At 38.3% G+C, this 23346-nt stretch overlaps 1 protein-coding gene across 4 annotated transcripts in view; it reads right to left on the reverse strand.

The window, feature by feature from the left end:
- Positions 1-23346, reverse strand: part of LRP2 (LDL receptor related protein 2) — a 235426-nt gene that overhangs the window by 134651 nt on the left and 77429 nt on the right. For 3 of the 4 annotated variants that reach the window (XM_011511183.4, NM_004525.3, XM_047444340.1), the window contains exons 10-16: positions 21114-21242; positions 18591-18760; positions 17613-17836; positions 15986-16192; positions 13277-13479; positions 11168-11308; positions 9145-9348 (exon numbers count right to left, since the gene is read on the reverse strand). In XM_011511183.4, the coding sequence (XP_011509485.1) occupies positions 9145-9348; positions 11168-11308; positions 13277-13479; positions 15986-16192; positions 17613-17836; positions 18591-18760; positions 21114-21242 (1278 nt within the window). Of the gene's footprint in view, positions 1-9144; positions 9349-9910; positions 9957-11167; positions 11309-13276; positions 13480-15985; positions 16193-17612; positions 17837-18590; positions 18761-21113; positions 21243-23346 lie in introns of those variants that run through there. The other variant, XM_011511184.3, reaches the window with a different exon arrangement.

Raw genomic sequence — 23346 nt, forward strand, 5'->3', positions numbered from 1 at the left:
CTGATACCAAAGCCAGGCAGAGACACAACCAAAACAGAGCATTTTAGACCAATATCCTTGATGAACATTGATGCAAAGATCCTCAATAAAATACTGGCAAACCGAATCCAGCAGCACATCAAAAAGCTTATCCACCATGATCAAGTGGGCTTCATCCCTGGGATGCAAGGCTGGTTCAATATACGCAAATCAATAAATGTAATCCAGCATATAAACAGAGCCAAAGACAAAAACCACATGATTATCTCAATAGATGCAGAAAAGGCCTTTGACAAAAGTCAACAACCCTTCATGCTAAAAACTCTCAATAAACTAGGTATTGATGGGGCATATCTCAAAATAATAAGAGCTATCTATGACAAACCCACAGCCAATATCATACTGAATGGGCAAAAACTGGAAGCATTCCCTTTGAAAACTGGCACAAGACAGGGATGCCCTCTCTCACCACTCCTATTCAACATAGTGTTGGAAATTCTGGCCAGGCCAATTAGGCAGGAGAAGGAAATAAAGGGTATTCAATTAGGAAAAGAGGAAGTCAAATTGTCCCTGTTTGCAGACGACATGATGGTATATCTAGAAAACCCCATCGTCTCAGCCCAAAATCTCCTTAAGCTGATAAGCAACTTCAGCAAAGTCTCAGGATACAAAATCAATGTACAAAAATCACAAGCATTCTTATACACCAATAACAGACAAACAGAGAGCCAAATCATGAGTGAACTCCCATTCACAATTGCTTCAAAGAGAATAAAATACCTAGGAATCCAACTTACAAGGGATGTGAAGGACCTCTTCAAGAAGAACTACAAACCACTGCTCAATGAAATAAAAGAGGATACAAACAAATGGAAGAACATTCCATGCTCATGGGTAGGAAGAATCAATATCGTGAAAATGGCCATACTGCCCAAGGTAATTTATAGATTCAATGCCATCCCCATCAAGCTACCAATGACTTTCTTCACAGAATTGGAAAAAACTACTTTAAAGCTCATATGGAACCAAAAAAGAGCCCGCATCGCCAAGTCAATCCTAAGCCAAAAGAACAAAGCTGGAGGCATCACACTACCTGACTTCAAACTATCCTACAAGGCTATAGTAAGCAAAACAGCATGGTACTGGTACCAAAACACAGATATAGACCAATGGAACAGAACAGAGCCCTCAGAAATAACGCCGTATATCTACAACTATCTGATCTTTGACAAACCTGAGAAAAAAAGCAATGGGGAAAGGATTCCCTATTTAATAAATGGTGCTGGGAAAACTGGCTAGCCATATGTAGAAAGCTGAAACTGGATCCCTTCCTTACACCTTATACAAATATCAATTCAAGATGGCTTAAAGACTTAAATATTAGACCTAAAACCATAAAAACCCTAGAAGAAAACCTAGGCATTACCATTCAGGACATAGGCATGGGCAAAGACTTCATGTCTAAAACACCAAAAGCAATGGCAACAAAAGCCAAAATTGACAAATGGGATCTAATTAAACTAAAGAGCTTCTGCACAGCAAAAGAAACTACCATCACAGTGAACAGGCAACCCACAAAATGGGAGAAAATATTCGCAACCTACTCATCTGACAAAGGGCTAATATCCAGAATCTACAATGAACTCAAACAAATTTACAAGAAAAAAACAAACAACCCCATCAAAAAGTGGGCAAAGGATATGAACAGACACTTCTCAAAAGAAGACATTTATGCAGCCAAAAAACACATGAAAAAATGCTCACCATCACTGGCCATCAGAGAAATGCAAATCAAAACCACAATGAGATACCATTTCACACCAGTTAGAATGGCAATCATTAAAAAGTCAGGAAACAACAGGTGCTGGAGAGGATGTGGAGAAATAGGAACACTTTTACACTGTTGGTGGGACTGTAAACTAGTTCAACCATTGTGGAAGTCAGTGTGGCGATTCCTCAGGGATCTAGAACTAGACATACCATTTGACCCAGCCATCGCATTACTGGGTATATACCCAGAGGACTATAAATCATGCTGCTATAAAGACACATGCACACGTATGTTTATTGCGGCACTATTCACAATAGCAAAGACTTGGAACCAACCCAAATGTCCAACAATGATAGACTGGATTAAGAAAATGTGGCACATATATGCCATGGAATACTATGCAGCCATAAAAAATGATGAGTTCATGTCCTTTGTAGGGACATGGATGAAATTGGAAATCATCATTCTCAGCAAACTATCACAAGAACAAAAAACCAAACACTGCATATTCTCACTCATAGGTGGGAATTGAACAATGAGAACACATGGACACAGGAAGGGGAACATCACACTCTGGGGACTGTTGTGGGGTGGCGCGGGAGGAGGGATAGCATTGGGAGATATAACTAATGCTAGATGACGAGTTAGTGGGTGCAGCGCACCAGCATGGCACATGTATACATATGTAACTAACCTGCACATTGTACACATGTACCCTAAAACTTAAAGTATAATAATAAATAAATAAATAAAAATAAAAAAATTAAAAAAAGGTAGGTTGCTCAGCATACGAACTTGAAGTTTACCAAAAATACTATGAGAATTCCAGATCAACAAAACAGAAGGAAGCTGACCTGTGGAGGTGCCTGTGGGAGACTTGGCCTGCATGCAGCTAGAAACCCAATACTACCTTTTCCTGAGAACTAAGCTCGACTGCAGTGCTCCAAGCTCAGTGGGCCTGATTCTAAGTCCTCAAAAAAGATAATTTCTCATTCAAAATAGCAGATTGACAAACCAAACATGTTTATCTCCTCTTCCTCCGAAATTCTACTTAAAAGACAGTAAAATAACAGCAGATGAGTAATTCCAACAAATGTTTGAAAAGTAAGGTATTGGAGGAGTGATAACTCAGTTAAGAAGGGGAAAATGCTACAAACTAAGTGTCAACAGAAGAGAGACACACCCACATATGCAGAAGCCTCAGTGCACTCACACTCAGAGGCACCAGGTCCTAACAAAGGCAGGGGCGAGGAACTAAGGGGCTCAGATAAAGCAAGATAAGGAGCAATCCAATGCCTAGGTCCCTCCCAGATCCTGAGTGTCACGCCACTCCTCTATCTCCTCTAAGGGACCACAGATTTTCTCTGGAGGAGCTGAAGCAGAATGGCTATGGGTTCAAGGCACAGTCCTCAACACAGAACTGAGATGGATGTGGAACTGAGTACAGGAGGATTATAGGAATACTGAAAGGGCGCCCTCAGCTCCCTTTCCTCTGCCCACTCCCAGAACAGACCACCATCTCCCCACATCTTCCCCTTACCCCAAGAAGGAGAATGAAGGCATCTATGAAGGAGAAATTAATCACCCCCAGAACAGACCACCATCTTCCCACATCTTCCCCTTACTCCAAGAAGGAGAATGAAGGCATCTATGGAGGAGAAATTAATCACCCCCAGAACAGACCACCATCTCCCCACATCTTCCCCTTACCTCATGAAGGAAAATGGAGGCATCTATGAAGGAGAAATTGACCATCTCCAGAAAAGACTCACTAATGTTGCCTTGGGGAGCAATCTGGCAACCAAGCCACCTTCCTGCCTGAAGCTCACCAGCTGACAAGGCCTATCCACATGTACAGACTTTTGGGTCAGGTTTTATAACCTCACCCTTAATACCAAACTAGCAACTCAGACACTTGGAAAAAGCTTCCATCAAAAAGAAGAAAGTTGAAAAGAAATCAAAAGGAAAAGGAATCCAGAGAAAATGGAAACAGAGGAAGATTAATTTTTAATGTCATATCCATATCCATATCAAAGTCATATCCATAGAAATGGTACTCAGAATGGCACTGGACTCAACACTAGATATTAGACGTCACTAGAGCAATGTCTTCAAATTCCAGGTTTAAATTAACTTGCAACCTGTACCCAGCCAAACAGTCAAGATGGAGAGCAAAATAAAACACTCACAGACATTCAAAGACTCAAAATATATGCCACCTACTTATGTTTCTCAGGAAGCTATCATGTAACTTGTTTCAGCAAAATGAGGAAATAAATCTAGAAAAAGAAATAAATGGCCTGCCACAAACAGAAGTTCCAGCACAGGGGAGTGGCAAAGAGAAGTCTGTGCACCAGGCCAGAGAAAAACAAGTCCCAATTGGAACACAGGATAGGGGTCTCCAGAAAGAAAAAAAAAATTATAGATTGTTTTCTGTCTTTGTACAGGCATTTGATAGAGCTATTAGAGCATTTGGGGAAAATACATGATTGTTATATTTAAAAACTAAGCAAATGAAAATGGGGCAATTGTCAAAAATTGTCAAGAAATGTCATCCTAGAATACTAATTGGCTGAGCAGTGAACAATATTTATATTTATATTATGTTAATAATATAAACACATATGATTAATTTAACCAAAAATTATAATCTAGCTTTTTAAGGAGAATGGGGGGAGGGAAGTCAGAAGCTGGGAGAGAAGAATGATGTAAGAAAGCAAAACGCTCACCTAGAACAAGGAAGTAAATATCAAAAATGATAAATCAAGAAATAGAAGTATAAACAAAGCATTTAGAAACATGGAGACAAACAAAAGAAGAAATAGTCAAAAGAGCTGTTCCCTCCCCAGAGCAGGTCTGGATTAGGGGCAGGGGAGGGTGGGCAATATGGTTTTATATTGATAACAGATAAAATGATATCCAACATTTACTGAATATTTACTATTTTCTAGCCATTACTCTAGGTGTTTACATGCATTAGCCAAAAATTCTCTCAACAACCTTATGAGCAATATATGAACCGCATATTTTTCAGACTAGAAAATTGAGGCAAAAGGAAATTGAGTAACTTCCCCAAAGTTACAAAGCTAGGAAATGTGGGAAGCTGGAATTTGGAACCAGGCAGTGTAGCTCCTAAGCTGGCTCTCTTAGTTGGTATGTTATATTGCTTACAAATTTTATTACTATTACAAACCAAACCCTTGGCATTTACATAGTCCAGCATCCCTGAAGAGATGTCTTCCCCTTTAATCAATCTGGCTGCTTGAGTATGAAAAACAGTGTCTAGTCAATTAATCTGTTAATGGCTCTCATACACGTGACATTTCTTTTATGTTAACATTGGTCATTGTTAAAATACACACACGTTTGTAACCTTTTTTTTTTTTTTTTTTTTCCGAGATAGGGTTGCACTCTGTTGCCCAAGCTGGAGTGCAGTGGTATGGTCATAGCTCACTGCAACCTGGATCTCCTGGGCTCAAACAATCCTTCCATTGCAGCCTCCCAAGTAGTGGGGACTACAGGTACATGCCACCACATCTGGCTAATTTTTTTCTTTTTTTGGTACAAGTGGAATCTCACTATGTTGCTCAGGCTGGTCTCAAACTCCCGGCCTCAAGCAATCCTCCCGTCTCGGTTCCCAAAAATAACGTGTTTCTAAAATAAAGGAAAGGTGTTTGTTTTACCTTAATCCATAAAAAAGCAATAAATTTATTTTCTCAATCTAAAACTATTTAGGAAGCTTAGTAAAATCTCTGCTTACATAACTATCCACCCCAAATCAACAGAGTATACATTCCTCTCAGCACCACATCGCACTTATTCCAAAATTGACCACATAGTTGGAAGTAAAGCACTCCTCAGCAAATGTAAAAGAACAGAAATTATAACAAACTGTCTCTCAGACCACAAGGCAATCAAATTAGAACTCAGGATCCAGAAACTCACTCAAAACCACTCAACTACACGGAAACTGAACAACGTGCTCCTGAATGACTACTGGGTAAGCAACGAAATGAAGGCAGAAATAAAGACGTTCTGTGAAACCAATGAGACCAAAGACACAACACACCAGAATCTCTGGGACACATTTGAAGTAGGGTGTAGAAGGAAATTTATAGCACTAAATGCCCACAGGAGAAAGCAGTAGAGATCTAAAACTGACACCCTAACATCACAATTAAAAGAACTAGAGAAGCGAGAGCAAACACATTCAAAAGCTAACGGAAGGCAAGAAATAACTAAGATCATAGCAGAACTGAAGGAGATAGAGACACAAAAAACCCTTCAAAAAATCAATGAATCCAGGAGCTGGTTTTTTGAAAAAATGAACAAAATTGATAGACCGCTAGCAAGACTAATAAAGAAGAAAAGAGAGAAGAATCAACTAGACACAATAAAAAATGATAAAGGGGATATCACCACCCATCCCAAAGAAATACAAACTACCATCAGAGAATACTGTAAATACCTCTATGCAAATAAACTAGAAAATCTAGAAGAAATAGATAAATTCCTGGACACATACACCCTCCCAAGACTAAACCAGGAAGAAGCTGAATCCCTGAATAGTCCAATAACAGGTTCTGAAATTGAGGCAATAATTAATAGCCTACCAACCCAAAAAATGTCCAGGACCAGACGGATTCACAGCCGAATTCTACCAGAGGTACAAAGAGGAGCTGGTTCCATTCCTTCTGAAACTATTCCAATCAAAGCAAAAAGAGGGAATCATCCCTAATTCATTTTATGAGGCCAACATCATTCTGATACCAAAGCCTGGCAGAGACACAACAAAAAAAGAGAATTTTAGACCAATATCCCTGATGAACATTGATGCAAAAATCCTCAATAAAATACTGGCAAACCGAATCCAGGATCACATCAAAAAGCTTATCCACCATGATCAAGTGGGCTTCATCCCTGTGATGCAATGCTGGTTCAGCATACACAAATCAATAAACGTAATCCAGCATATAAACAGAACCAAAGACAAAAACCACATGATTATCTCAATAGATGCAGAAAAGGCCTTTGACAAAATTCAACAGCCCTTCATGCTAAATCAATAAACTAGGTATTGATGGGATGTATCTCAAAATAATAAGAGCTATTTATGACAAACCCACAGCCAATATCATACTGAATGGACAAAAACTGGAAGCATTCCCTTTGAAAACTGGCACAAGGCAGGGATGCCCTCTCTCGCCACTCCTACTCAGCATAGTGTTGGAAGTTCTGGCCAGGGCAATTAGTCAGGAGAAGGAAATAAAGGGTATTCAATTAGGAAAAGAGGAAGTCAAATTGTCCCTGTTTGCAGATGATATGACTGTATATTTAGAAAACCCCATCATCTCAGCCCAATATCTCCTTAAGCTGATAAGCAACTTCAGCAAAGTCTCAGGATACAAAATCAATGTGCAAAAATCACAAGCATTCCTATACACCAATAACAGACAAACAGAGAGCCAAATCATGAGTGAACTCCCATTCACAATTGCTTCAAAGAGAATAAAATACCTAGGAATCCAACTTACAAGGGATGTGAAGGACCTCTTCAAGGAGAACTACAAACCACTGCTCAGCAAAATAAAAGAGGACACAAACAAATGGAAGAACAATCCATGCTCATGGATAGGAAGAATCAATATTGTGAAAATGGCCATACTGCCCAAGGTGATTTATAGATTCAATGCCATCCCCATCAAGCTACCAATGACTTTCTTCACAGAATTGGAAAAAACTACTTTAAAGTTCATATGGAACCAAAAAAGAGCCTGCATTGCCAAGACAATCCTAAGCCAAAAGAACAAAGCTGAAGGCATCACACTACCTGACTTCAAGCTATACTACAAGGCTACAGTAACCAAAACAGCATGGTACTGGTACCAAAACAGAGATATAGACCAATGGAACAGAATAGAGTCCTCAGAAATGATATCACACATCTACAACCATCTGATCTTTGACAAACCTGACAAAAACAAGAAATGGGGAAAGGATTCCCTATTTAATAAATGGTACTGGGAAAACTGGCTAGCCATATTTAGAAAGCTGAAACTGGATCCCTTCCTTACACCTTATACAAAAATCAATTCAAGATGGATTAAAGATTTAAATGTTAGACCTAAAGCCATAAGAACCCTTAGAAGAAAACCTAGACAATACCATTCAGGCCATAGGTGTGGGCAAGGACTTCATGACTGCAACACCAAAAGCAATGGCAACAAAAGCCAAAATTGACAAATGGGATCTAATTAGACTAAAGAGCTTCTGCACAGCAAAACAAACTACCATCAGAGTGAACAGGCAACCTACAGAATAGGAGAAAATTTTTACAATCTACCCATCTTACAAAGGGCTAATATCCAGAATCTACAAAGAACTTAAACAAATTTACAAGAAAAAATCAAACAACCCCATCAAAAAGTGGGTGAAGGATATGAACAGACACTTCTCAAAAAAAGACATTTATGGAGGCAACAGACACAAGAAAAAATGCTCATCATCACTAGCCATCAGAGAAATGCAAATCAAAATCACAATGAGATACCATCTCACACCAGTTAGAATGGCGATCATTAAAAAGTCAGGAAACAACAGGTGCTGGAGAGGATGTGGAGATATAGGAACACTTTTACACTGTTGGAGGGACTGTAAACTAGTTCAACCATTGTGGAAGACAGTGTGGAGATTCCTCAGGGATCTAGAACTAGAAATAACATTTGACCCAGCCATCCCATTACTGGGCATATACCCAAAGGATTATAAATCATGCTGCTATAAAGACACATGCTCACGTATGTTTATTGCGGCACTATTCACAACAGCAAAAACTTGGAACCAACCCAAATGTTCATCAATGATAGACTGGATTAAGAAAATGTGTTACATATGCACCATGGAATACTATGCAGCCATAAAAAAGGATGAGTTCATGTTCTTTACAGGGACATGGATGAAATTGGAAATCATCATTCTCAGCAAACTATTGCAAGGACAGAAAACCAAACACCACATGTTCTCACTCACAGGTGGGAATTGAACAATGAGCACACATGGACACAGGATGGGGAACATCACACGCCAGGGCCTGTCGTGGGGTGGGGGGAGGGGGAGGGATAGCATTAGGAGATATACCTAACATAAATGACGAGTTAACGGGTGCAGCACACCAACATGGCACATGTATACATATGTAACAAACCTGCACGTTGTGCACATGTACCCTAGAACTTAAAGTAAAATAGTATAAATAAATAAATAAATAAATAAATAAATAAATAAGACTGCTTAAAAATTAGATACTGAGTTTTAATTATCAAGTTGTAAGTATCATTACAATAAACAGGCAAAACACGCATACACACACACACACACACACAAACCTTTCTCACCTGTGCCATCAATCTTTTGCTTAAAAATCATGTGTTTTGACATATCTGAAAAAAAGATAGTGCTGTCCTGGGCGTCAAAATCAATCCCGACAAAGAAAGAAGGATTCCCCGAAACTGGAACCATGACATCTTCCTGGGTAGACAAGGTGAACGGGATCCCACGAATAGCAACTTGGGATGAAAAAATGAGGAAATTCTGAACAGCTGTAGGAAGAATAACACAGCACAGTCAGTCACAGCATGGTTCTTTTCTCTCCTCCCAAATTCCAGATAAATGCATCCACAGAGCAAACTTTAAATTATAAAATATAATTCTGAAATAAATGTAAAAATAAATTTTTGGAAAGCATAGTTAGAAATAATACAGGGAAGAAAAAAAGATAAGCAACTATGAGGGAGATACAAGTATTAGAATCTTCCTTCTTCCTAAGAAATGTATCCTTAAAATGTATTTATATGAAAAATGATATCCATATGCTTAATTTATAAAATAGGAGATACATCTAATGTAATGACGAGTTAACGGGTGCAGCACACCAACATGGCACATGTATACATATGTAACAAACCTGCACATTGTGCACATGTACCCTAGAACTTAAAGTAAAATAGTATAAATAAATAAAATAAAAAGGACTGCTTAAAAATTAGATACTGAGTTTTAATTATCAAGTTATAAGTATCATTACAATAAACAGGCAAAACATGCACACACACACACACACACACACACACACACACACACACACACAGAAACCTTTCTCACCTGTGCCATCAATCTTTTGTTTAAAAATCATACAGAGCTGAACTCTATAGTAATTCCGTAACAATCCTCAAGTTGGTTTAACTTCTGCATAGAGATCTACACCAAGAACCTTACAGTAGATACCAAGATAATTAACAGCAATCAGAAATATAAAGATATAAAGGAGTGAAAGCAGGGAAGGAAGGGGAGGGATAAAGGAAATAGGTAAGAAGAAGTGATGTTTAACAGCAAAGAGGAGACTGTGACAGGATGCCAGGGAGTCAAGAAGATGAAGGAGGTATGCCCAAGACAAAGATAAAAATCGCAGTAACGGAATTTAAAAGCAAAATTATTAGACAACGCACTATTGATATAATAGTTAGAAATACATGTTGTTTTTAATGAGGGTGATTTTTCTGAATCTAAAACTACCTAAGAAGTTAACAAATGTGTCTGGGTTAGAATAAGATAATTTATATACGACGCTAGAAACCGCAACATCTGGAGAGCAAGAATTTGTCACAGGCACAGAAAGGAGAAATGTAGAAGTGAAAATAAGAAAAACAAATATTGTAGGAGTGCATTTCATCATTAGCTGGGGCCCAGGCGATGGCTTAAGTGTGAATAGATGTGTAGGAAACCAAAGAGGAAGAAAGGAAACCTTCAAGGTAAGAATGAAATCAGGAATATGGAGGCAGATACAAGAAAGTTTGAACTGAAAGGTGAAAAACTGTGTGAGTAACTGAGCCACCCCAATGCTCAGGAGTTTACTTTGGAATACAGAGAGAAAAAATAAGCCAGATAAGATTCAGATGTGATTACCTGGTTGAAAGGGGCATACGTGGTGGTCTAGGAGAAGTCAAAGTGGGGAGAAGTACAGTACTTCCCATCAAAGTTAAGGCTAACATCTAAAGTGGAAAAGGTATACATAGCATAGAAAAGAGCTCAAAGTTCAACCATATGGAATTTCAAGATCATAGTTAATAGGAGAAAAAGGCTTCAGGAAACAAAGGGGGAAGGGAACCCAAGAAAACCTTAGATGTGGGATTAAAGCAAAATCCCAAAAGACAGAAATTTACATTTTCAAACATAGTTCTGTGTATAGTAGAAGTGGTGCCTACCAAGGAAGATGCCCTGTGGGCTACAGAAAGCTTATTTGCAGTCAAGAAGTTAGACAGGGAGCTGGTCCAGTTCAAGAGTAGCAGTTAGTCTAGTTAGAGGTTTGGACACACATACACCTGTGTCACCTGCCAACAACGTCCAAAACAGACTTCTTACCAATGCAGTGGCGCTCATCTGTATCCAGTTGGAAGCCGAATGTGCACTTGCAACGGAAACCCAAACCATCATTATCTGTTCTGTGGCTGAGGACACAGACCTGCTCACAGCCCCCATTGTTATCTTTACACGGATTGGTAGCTGGAAGGAAAAATGCACAGGGTTAAATTGCAATTAGAAATGTGTAATTATCCAAGACATGAAGCCACTTCTAGCCCTTTTCACCTATAGGTGAAATAGAGTAATGGATTAGCAACGTGTTGAAAACATTACTACTGGTTACTACTGGATACATCCACATCTGGCTACACTAACCCTCCCAATTTCACTGCTGCTCTCCCATCCACTCTCCAACAGACGGTGGCAAAAAAAAAGAAAGGACTCCTACAACTTTCTCCCCAATAATTATGTCAGAGTATGTCTGCTATCCTCCATGATTAGAAATAATTGTCAAAAGAAAACCCACACTTCACTGCTTTTTTGCCATTTGTAGGATATAATAAATATTACTCACTGGATGCTTACTTTGTAAGTAAACCAACTTAACCAATAGCTCTAAGAGGTAAGTATTAGTCCTCCAATTTTACAGAGGAGAAACCAAGAATCTAAACAGTTAAATAACTTGCCCAACATTATTCAGCAGCTAAACAGCTTGACTAGGATTCAAAGCCAGATCTGATTCCAAAACCTTAAATGTCTGCAACACAAACCAGTTTATACTTCCAAAAGCCACTCTCAAAGTAGTGACCTTAGGAAGAGCACTGCCACAGCTAGAAATTTTATATCTGCTTTCAAAATTGTCTTTTTAGCCTTTGACTTATTCTTTAAAATATTCTCTTTATCTTCTCAGGTGGATTGATTTGGGGAAACAATAGGCAGATGTCATTCTGAGCCAAATAATGAAAATAGTAATTTGAGTGATCACATTGATCATTGATCTAATGGATCTAATGTGAGGGCAGGTGTGAGTTTAGTTGTGAATTGAGTGTAAAAACTATTCAAAACAGATATTTCCAAAAATGTTTTCAGATAAAATATCTATTTTTAGACAAGTTTATACTTTCCCAGGATGATGACATTGAAGGAGATTCATCTGAATGTGTCATTTCTAGTGGTTGGGCTTTTGTTAAGTTAACCTCATTACTTTGCAGTCTTTCTTCATCCTAAATAGATCCATCACTTAACATGAGTTTTAGAGCAAATCTGTTTTCCTCTAAATTATTGCTCACCAATATTAAGCTTTCTACCAACGTAGTGTAGTTTATGTTTCTTTTTCTTTGATCCACAAGCAAATACAGAAAAGAGCTATATACAGTCCTGATAGACTTATCAAAGCTCAAGCTATAACCTGGAAACATAAACAAAGCTTATGATAGGCCAGGTGCAGTGGCTTACACCTGTAATCCCAACACTTTGGGAAGCCGGGGCAGGAGGATCGCTTGAAGCCCGGAGTTCCAGAAAAGTCTGGCCAACATAGTGGAAATCCCATCTCAGAAAAAATAAAAAGAAAAAATCACGTGGTAAAATAACAGGAGAAGACTAAGCAGTGTCTGAATCAAAATATTTCTTTTTTTAAAATAAGTGACCAGCCAGAGAGACACCAAACCCAGTTGGCCTATGACAGATTAATCAGAACCAAAGAACAGGTGCCATACATATGCAACAGAGAAGAAGAAAAAAATGGCTCTGATGCTACCGAAAATGGACACTTAGACATGTCATTTTCTTCTATGGGACCTGTTTCCTTAACTGTAATATTAGAAGTTTGAAATAGATGTCTTTCCCAGTAGAATGAGGATAGGTATTTTGGTTTGGTTTGTGAGCTGCTATACCCCCAAGCATCTTTGCAGGTGCTAATAAACATCTGTTAAATAAATCTCTAAATTCCCTCTAGATTTGGCATTTAACTGTGAAATACATCAGTTTCTTCAGAATGCTCCTAACCTGCAGAACCAGTTTCAGAGAGTTTAACACTCTGGGTAACCCTTCATATACTTGAGAATGCCACCCAAATCACATAAGACCCCTCATTATTAACTTTCAAAGCTTTGAGAAAACCTTTCCACCAAGTCCGGTACCAAGCATGGTTACCACTGCTCTGAGGCTTACCATAGGGCTGTCTGAGGGAATGGTAAACAGTCACTCCATAGGGCCTCAGGGAAGCCTGGTAGTACACTTGTGGGTTGGTCTCTGTGAACTTGTTTGCCTTCAGCACGGCCATCTTTGTCCAATCTGTAAAGAACACCTGACCTTCAAATAAGCTTACTCCAAAGGGATGAGGAATGAGGGAGCCTCCATGAACTACAGTCTTCCTGTTATAAAAGACACATATATATCATACAATTTGTTAGTTTTGCTTTATTATAATTAAAGCTGTAGTTAGTTCAATTAAATGCCTGAAAAGCTAAATAATTTCTTGTCACAAATACGGAATAGATAGAAAAGATACATTTTAGATGTATACATATTTCCATCTACATATGATAGAAGGATTTTCATGTTGTCTCTTGGAAAAGACCCTTGAGACTTACATTCCAGTCCCAGTCAATCCTTTAGCTTGTCCTAGACTTTTTTGGAATTTACTGTTTCCCCTTTTGTTCTTCATTCCTTTTAGGTTGCCCCACATCTAAAAGGCTAAGATGTGAAATAGCATTTTGAATACCATAAGTGAAAGAGTATACCAAGACTTTGGAAGTCTGGGAAAAGATGCCTTTGCCAACTATTTCCCACTGCACCATTGAGCATTTCCTAGCAATTAGGGAGCAGGACAGTGAGTGGTAGGGTTCAAGCCCCAGCAAACGCCCACATCTGTTCCTGATGTCACTGTAAGGAAAGCAAGAAGCAATGCCACTACCACTCTTATGCATCTGCTTGATGGAACTATCAACTGATCATACTTGTAATGGAGGCCCAAAGCCACTTAACTGGGAAGAAAACAGAAGTAAAATTAGGCACTAAGCGAAGAGAGGAAATCAACAACGCCCCCCGTGACTATGTCTCCATAAACAATGATTCAGTTAGACTCATGAACAGAGTGAGGCAGAGGACGGTTGATATGGGAAAACTCTTATTTTCTTTATTTTGGCGTAATACAAAGACCTCAAAGAAAAATCTTAGCATCCCCTGAAAACTAAAAAGGACAATAGAGCTCTAAGAAAAGACTTGAAGATATTAAAGCTGGGAAACACACTAAAGGGGAGTAAACAAAGAAACCTAAGGTGGCAGGTTAGTGCACACTTTGAAACATTCTATAATGACATGGTACATTAAGATTAGAGAATAGTTTCTCTCTCAGTTAGCAAATTCCAAAACCCTGAATGCCACCTGCTGGCAAAGCGAGAGGCAATGACTTTATGATTTCAGCTGTACTTGTGAGCTTTAATATTTCTTTGATGTTTCTTCACAGCCAGCAAACCACTCAAATCTTTTTGAAATTCCATTGATTTTTATCTTTTATGCTTTACTTTTTTTTACTTCAGCAAAAGTTAGACTATATAATATAATGCTAAAACATCCCAAAGAGAAAAAATTTAAGCAATTTCACAATTATTTTATGTGACTTATTGGGTTAGCTAATTTTTTCATAAAATTTATTCATATTCTCCTTATGGAAGCCAGTTTCAGTGATAGGAAGTCACCATATTAATACACAATACTTCATTTAACCAAGCAGAGATTGTCCCAAGGATATATAATCCAATGGCAAACTGTGATATTATCCTTACAAAATGGAAATACAAGAGGAAACAAAACTATAATATTGCTTTCATTGAGAAAACAATAAAATCAAGTCATTGGGAAAAATTAAGTTAACCAGCCTATTTGCTGAATCCACAAAGAATAATATTTTGGGTCAAAATTTGAAGAACATGTTTTACCCAATTTTTGAAAATACCAAAAGGAGAGGATCTAAAATAATTTTTTTTACATTAAGTTGTAGTTAGCTCTAATCAGAGTAAAAAGATGAAAAAAAATATGCCATATTCAGCCAGGTGTAGTGGCTCACATCTGTAATCCCAATACTTTGGGAGGCTGAGGCAGGCGAATAACTTGAGGTTAGGAGTTTGGGACCAGCCTGGGAAACACGGTGAAATTTTATCTCTACTAAAAATACAAAAATTGCCAGGCATGGTGGTGTATGCTTGTAATCCTAGCTACTGGGGAGGTTGAAGCAGGAGAATCACTTGAACTTGGGAGGTGGAGTTTGCAGTGAACCGAGATTGCATCACTGCACTTCAGCCTGGGTGACAGAGTGAGACTCCATCTCAAAAAAAAAAAAAAAAAAAGAAAGCCATATTCTACATTCAAATATTGCTGTTTAAGTATCTTTGTATACCAGGTAAAAATACAATACAAAGAATTTCTCCTTGAAATTTGAAATATATAAGAGCAGAGTAAAATCCAATTAATTCCCAGTAGGCAACATCAAATACCTAATAAAACATGTATTTATTGGGGGAAGGTTAGAAAATTAAAAGGGAAAGTGATCTTGAGAAACAAAGCACAAATGAACTCAGGAGTGAATGAAAATAATGTGCATCATGTGGGACTAGGGGAAGAGTTGGAGAGGAGAAATCAAAGAACAAATGCTGGAGGTTATATTTAATGAGCGTTTACCTCTTGTGTTATGGGACACAAGAAAAGTTAACAAAATAGAGCAGGTCACTTCATGCAAATGTCAGTACAAAGGTCATTAAAGCTATCATGTCCACCAACAAAGCAATATTTTAATTCTGGTCCTTTGATATTTCTCTGCAGCCATTTTATGCACTTTCCCTGCAACTTATAAAGCCATAAGCCATAAAAAATACTTCTTACCTTTGAATTCCATCATAAGTTACAGTTTCAATGTAATCAAACCGAGAGTCAACCCAGTAAACACGCTTCGATATCATATCCAGAGTTACCCCAGCAGGCCATCCCAGCTTTGTTTTCACCAAGTCTTTACGGTTGCTGCCATCCATGAATGCCCTTTCCAGCTTAGGTTCCCCAGAAAGGCTCTCCCAATCTGAGAAAAATAAATAACTACAAAAGAAAAACAGAAGATGAAAGAATCTGGTATTTTACAAGTTAACCTGGGAATTTTTTTTAACAGTGTGTTTGGATCAATGGAAATTTTATCCAGCTGATTAGAGAACCACAGTATAAAACAACAGGGAAATTAAGTTGTTTTTTTTTTTTAAAGAGACTGTGGGGGTCAGTCAGGAGCATCAACAGTTCCAAATAGCAACTATTATGATGCACTAATATGGCAGTCTAAAAGTTCATATTCAGCCAGCCAGGCACAGTGGTTCATGCCTGTGGTCCTAGCACTTTGGGAGGCCAACATAGAAGGATTGCTTGAGGCCCATGTTTCAAGACCAGCCTGGGCAACATGGCAAGACCCCATCTCTACAAAAATTAAAAGATTAGCTGGGCATGATGGCACTTGCCCATAGTCTCAGCTACTCAGGAAGCTGAGGTGGGAGGATTGCTTGAGCCCAGAAGTTCAAGTCTGCGGCACGCTGTGATTGTGCTGCTGCACTCCAGCCTGGGCAACAGAGCAAGAACCTGTCTCAAAAAAAAAAAATTCATATTCACCTTCTGAACTTTCTCCTCTGTTTCCTTTATTTGTCCTTTGCTTCTCTTTTTTACACCCAGGAAAACTTACAAATACCTTTTAAAAGAAGCTATCAAGCCATTTTGCTCCTCAGTTTTCCATTCTGAGGCACAGAGAACATTTCCGTCATTTTCAAGGAAGGATAGCTGATATAATGAAGTAGAACTGAATAATCATCATTCACAAAGACTAAAATAGCCTAAAGCTTATCCAAGGGTCCTAAGACCCAATTGTGAAATTCTAGGAGAAAGCTAAGTCTCCTATAACACTTCTCAAATGTGAAGATTGGGAAATTTAAATTTAAACCTGAAGAAAAGCATTATCGGTGTTGCTGGATTGATTCAGACTGAACAACTTGTAATGAGATATTAGCATTGATATCTCAATCCCAGCCTGTATCAAGAAAGTTCTGAAAGGAATAGTTCCAACCTCCATCTTTAAAAATCTTTACAGCTAATTCATGTTAGAGTAATCATCTTAATAATAATGAAGCATAAGTGATGTTTAGTTGTAATAATATTATTAGATTGAGTTAGAACACAAAATCCAATCTCTTAGCTAGGAAAACGTGGCAAACACTAAGAATAAAATTCATAGCCCCAAAACAACAAGTATTTTTAGTACACCACTAGGTGTGTTTGGGTAACATGTCCTCAAATAGGATTATATTTAATAAACTCTCTTAAAGCTTCTATAAATAAGGGCACAAAATAGACATGGCTTCTAGAGTATACAGCCTAAAAGAAATCAGAATGAGCCTTTGATTAATCCAGTAGATGTTCAGTGTATAGAGGGAGAGAGAAAATTCTAAAAATACAGGAATCAATATGTTTTCACATCACTTACCCAACAGTTGGGTCCACGGCAATTCCTCTAGGATGCCCCAAGTTTTCAGTTATAAGGGTAACCCGATAGCTTCCATCCAAATTTACCATATCTATGCGGTTGACCTTGGTTTCCACTAGATAGATTTTATTATTAACCCAGTCCACAGCCAGGTTCTCTGGGGTTTCAACAGAAACATTGAGAACCTCTTGGATATTTAAACCATTAATGTCAACTGAAAAAACCTGAAAGAAAAACCAAAATTATTATATTTCTTCAGCATCACTAACTACGTGGTTTGTTTTGATTTTTTTTAGCTATAATCAAATCAGAAGTGCTAAAAATCTAAATTCTCAATTTTCAGAAATTTCATGCAAGTTATCATTTAAATAAATGAGAATCGTATTAATGGTATAATAAAATGTAAGAAGAAATAAATAAAATTCCATAACTCTTTAAGAGTTTCTGAAATTTATGTTTCAAAAATCTCCATTGCATTACTCCAAGATGAAATTAAACCCATCACACTTTCCAAATAAGACAGTGAAACAAAATTTGGGCCATTAAACAAAATACCGTCAATATTTGTTACTCGATCCCGAATTACAGTTCCATTTAGAAGATGCAGGTAAAAATCTGATTTTTATCATCCAGAAAAGCAGTGTGCTTTTTACATTTTAAATGATCAAATTTCAAAAATTACTACCAAATATCTATCCAGTTTTGAAAGAATGTCTACTATTTCTTTTAATTAGGCTCCTGGACTCCACTTCGAATAAAATTAAAAGTTGCTCAAGGCTAATCCATATAATAGACTGCTTTGTTTAATAGGTCACATGTAATAGTATAGCATGGAAAAGGTGCTGATTAACATAAAATATCTCAAGGGCCTTTTTTGTTAGAAAACAAAGGAACTTTCCCCTCTACTCCCTCTAAAAGTGAAAAGCTATCAACACTTTGTGCTCAGGGTTCCATTCAGCTACTGAAATTTCTATTTACCTTATTTTGCACGGTGTCTGTCCAAAAAACTCTTTGCAGGTGATAGTGGAAAGCCACACCCACGGCCACTCCACGATTCTGAGACTCCACTAGGATCCGGAAGCTCCTTCCATGAATATCACCAATTAACAAATCCCGACCATTGGAGAAGATAATGGAGGCCTCGCCAACTAAATGCGAAGAAGGAAGGCATCACCACTCCTTCAGATGAGCAAGGATGGTGAAGTAGCTTACAAATGATATGCTTTCTGCTTTTTCAAATGCTATCTTCTAGGTTGTCTTACCTGATTTTAACATAAACCTCTGAGGCAGACAGATAGCTAGCATTCTATCCATTTTACAGAAGGGCAAATTGAGGCACAAAAAGGCTTAATGAAGCGTCCAAAATCTCAGTAAGTTAGGAAGAATTTGGTAAGAATTCAAGCATTCTGGATGCTAGTCCAATGCACTTTCAATGACACTGAGGAGAGTATTTCTCAGATATTTTCGAGACTCCTTGATGGTATGGGCACCTTAGCCCCATGTGCAACTTTAGATTTTGTTAAACACAGAAGACATTTTAAAGATTACCAGGAAATCACTCTGAAAAAGATGGTAATGGTGGTTCCAAATCTGTTCTGTCTGTTTACTCGCAGGTATGCAAAATGATATATGAACAAGGTATTAATTGCAGTCTTATTGGCAATAGCAAAAGATAAGGAATGATATAAAAATTGATCAGTAGAGGACTAGTTAAACAAATTATGAACATAAAAGAAGGAATATTATGCCATTATAAAAAAATAATTAAGGCCAGGCGCAGTGGCTCACACCTGTAATCCCAGCACTTTGAGGGACTGAGGTAGGCAGATCACCTGAAGTCAGGAGTTCGAGATCAGCCTGGCCAACATGGGGAAACCCTGTTTCTACCAAAAATACAAAAATTAGCTGGGCATGGTGGCGGGGGCCTGTAATCTCAGCTACTCAGGAGGCTGAGGCAGGAGAATCGCTTGAACCCGAGAGGCGGAGATTGCAGTGAGGCAAGATCTTGCCATTGCACTCCAGCCTGGGCAACAAGAGCAAGACTCCATCTCAAAAATAAATAAATAAGGCCGGATGCGGTGGTTCATGCCTGTAATCCCAGCACTTTGGGAGGCCAAGGCAGGTAAATTATGAGGTCAGGAGATCAAGACCATCCTGGCTAACATGATGAAACCCCGTCTCTACTAAAAATACAAAAATTAGCTGGGTGTGGTGGCAGAAGCCTGTAGTCCCAGCTACTCGGGAGGCTGAGGCAGAGAATTGCCTGAACCCGGGAGGCGGAGGTTGCAGTGAGCCAAGATGGCGCCACTGCACTCCAGCCTGGGCAACAGAGCGAGACTCATTCTCAAAAATAAATAAATAAAAATAAATAAATAAATAAATAAAATAATTAAGAAATAACTTCATGTGCTGAAATGGAAAGCTCTGGAAAATATCTTCAGTACATTCACAAGATGCAGAACTGTGCATATAGTTTACTACCATATATAGATATGTAAATACAGTTAAATATCTATATTTGTATGTTCTTGTTTATTCATTAAAAAATCTCTAGAACTAAAATAAAGAAACGGCAATTACTCATAGGAAAGAGAAGGTGAAAACCATGCAGAGGGGAATAGTTATGGAGGAAGGCATTTCACTACATATCTTCTTATAATTTAAAATTTGTGAACATATAAATATGTTACCTATGCAAAAATAAACACATTGAATTGTTAAAAATCCGCTGAACCTAAAAGTTACTACACAGCAAATCAGGTATTTCTACACAAAAACAAGTAGAAAATGGGCCATTCTTCAGTCATGGGAGCAGTTAAGTTTCAGAAGACACCAAAGACACTTCAAAATCAAGTGTTAAATAACTATTGGAAAATAGGAGTTTATATTGAGACCTTCGTCCGGAGAAATCAACAGCGACAAAATGCTTTGGAGCCCTCATCTATTTTTTGCAGATTTTCTCCATGACTTTTCTCTACTACTCTGTACTACTCTCTACTTTTCATACTCTTACACTGATTCCAACAAATTACCCAGAGTTAGTGCATTCAAAAAATTGTTAATCCAAATTTAGCATGTCCATTTGGAAATATCCCTAAATTTTGCAAGAACACTGTGAAAATTATTTCTGTAGATAGTTGTCGCCTACTTTTGTGGTAGGTAATTAATTAAAAGTTAAATGTCCAAGCCAATCAAATGTAGGCATAGCATTTATTCCACAATTAAAGGTGGGTGACATGATAGCCTAGGCAAAGTAAACAATCAATCAATTAAAAAATATTAATAATGGTCACCATTAGTCGACAAATTGGTCCTTAATAATCAAAGTATGAAATTAATGTTGACCAATTTTTCTAGGCAGTAGGAGCCATCCCTGATTTGTAATGATAAAGCCCTGCCAACAACAAAAATGCTGATAATTCTGTTGTCATCAGAAGGAAGGAAAGAAGCTATTAGAATCTGTTCACTGTTCAGAGACACAGGTGTCCATAATTTACTCACAGGAATCATTAGCTTTGCAATACTGTCCACGCTCCAAGATATACCCTTCTTCACAGTGGCACAGGTGACGGCCAGGTCGGCTTTCACACTTCTGGTCACAAATTCCCCATATCTGGCAATCATCAAACTCTGCCATATGGAAAATACACATTTGTAGTCAAGGTTATCAGCATTTATTAAGCACTCTCTGACAAAAATCCTAGATAAGATGGCCAAGAATGTGGTGTTGCCCATGTCTAAATAAACACCCTCTGGAATTAGGCACAGGTTCTGAGAATTTATAACAACCATCTTCATGTAAGGAAAAAGAACATTTACATCATTTTTTAAACCTACATGAAGGATAACTTTACAGAAAATGCACAACACTTCCTGAATTCATAGCCCTATGGTACTGCATTTCATTTATTAATGTTAGTCTACAAATATATAAATTTTGGTGTAAATGTTTCCCTTCAATACTATGCTTTCCAACATGGCAGCCACTAACCCCCTGTGGCTATCTAAATGTATCTTTAGATTAATTAAAATAAAATAAAATTAATAATTTGCTTTCCTAGTCACTTGCCACATTTCAAGTGCTCAATAGCCACATATGACTAGTGGTTACAATATGACAGAGTGAAGATACACATTTACATCACTGCAGAAAGTTCTATTGGACAGCACTATTTCTGAATAAAGTAAGACCTGCCTATAGACAGCCCCTCAGGAAGAAACAAATCTATGACTGCAATAAAGTACTTGGAAAGGTCTATTTACCCAGCTGTCTTTCCTCTGATGTCAAAAAATTATAACCAAAATTAAATTGAACTTATTTTCAAGACATCAAAAATGTCTTCTCCTCTACTTATTGGTTAACTTATTATTCACTCATTTAGTAAGTGTTCATTGAAGTCCCTTACATGACAGAGCTCTGTTCATTACCAGAGAAGTCCCAGTTCTACTGTTTAAAAATAGTTCCAATATAATTGACATAAACAATAGAATATGGAGGGGAGAACACAACAAAATATTAGAAGAGTCTTTCTTAAAGACTATAAGGCTTCAGGGGTGCAGAAATTGGTACATCTGACTTTCCAAGTCCACGTCCACTCTCCATCATCCTTCACCCTCCTCGCTTCCCTGGGAGGATGACCTATACAAACTATAACAATAGAGTTCCCACACCCTCTGGTTTCAGGAAGTTCTCAAGTAGATTATAATTTCTGAAACCACTGCACTCCCAAGTCTAGAATTCTCCAGATTTCTATGATCTGATTACATTTGCAGCAACTGTCAGAGTTGTGAATTGGGTTCAACCATTCCTGCTGGGTGGCCCACCATTCCATAACCCACCAAAAGGCCAAGTTTCTTCTCTTTTCTTTTCTTTTTCTTTTTTTTCTTTTTTTTTTTTTTTTTTTTTTTTTTGAGATGGAGTCACAGTCTGTTGCCCAGGCTGGAGTGCAGTGGCACAGTCTCGGCTCACTGCAACCTCCGCCTCCCGGGTTCAAGTGATCCTTCCACCTCAGCCTACCGAGTAGCTGGAACTACAGGTGTGCGCCACCACACCTGGCTAATATTTTTGTATTTTTAGTAGAGACGGCATTTCCCCATGTTGGCCAGGCTGGTCTCAAACTCCTGATCTCAAGTAAGCAGCTTGCCTTGGCCTCCCAAAGTGATGGGACTGCAGGCGTAAGCCACCGCATCCAGCCCCAAGAAGGCTCTTCTAATGATCCCATTTTCCCTGCAGATTAAACATAACAACATGAGCCAGCATATCTTTCTTTCCAAGGACCGTGACTAACCAGAGGAAAAAAAACCCAATCCGATCTGGACACTACCAAGTGAAATGCCACATGAGGGTGTGAAATGCCCTCACTGATGAATCCCTTCTGTCCCCTTAACTCAGCCCTGAGAAAGCTCCACCTAAGGCTTTGCCTCAGCAGGAAAAAAAGTACAGGACATTCTCCCTCAAACCCCCAGAATGTCATAACTTCATTTTGAATGCAAGATCCATGAGACCACGTCTAAGGATCTGGAGTCACTCTAAGCAGAAGTTCTGATGTCAAACAGAAGGAAACCAAAGGTGGAGAAGTCATAACTAGGAATTCTCTAGCACAAATGCCCTTCCTATCACCTGCACTACAAGTGGTTTAAAGATTTGAATGAGTGGGCCAGGCACAGTGGCTCACGCCTATAATCCCAGCACTTTGGGAGGGTAAGGTGGGAGGATTGCTTGAGTCCAAGGGTT

The sequence above is a fragment of the Homo sapiens genome, chromosome 2, assembly GCF_000001405.40.
Source record: "Homo sapiens chromosome 2, GRCh38.p14 Primary Assembly".
NCBI lineage: Eukaryota > Metazoa > Chordata > Mammalia > Primates > Hominidae > Homo > Homo sapiens.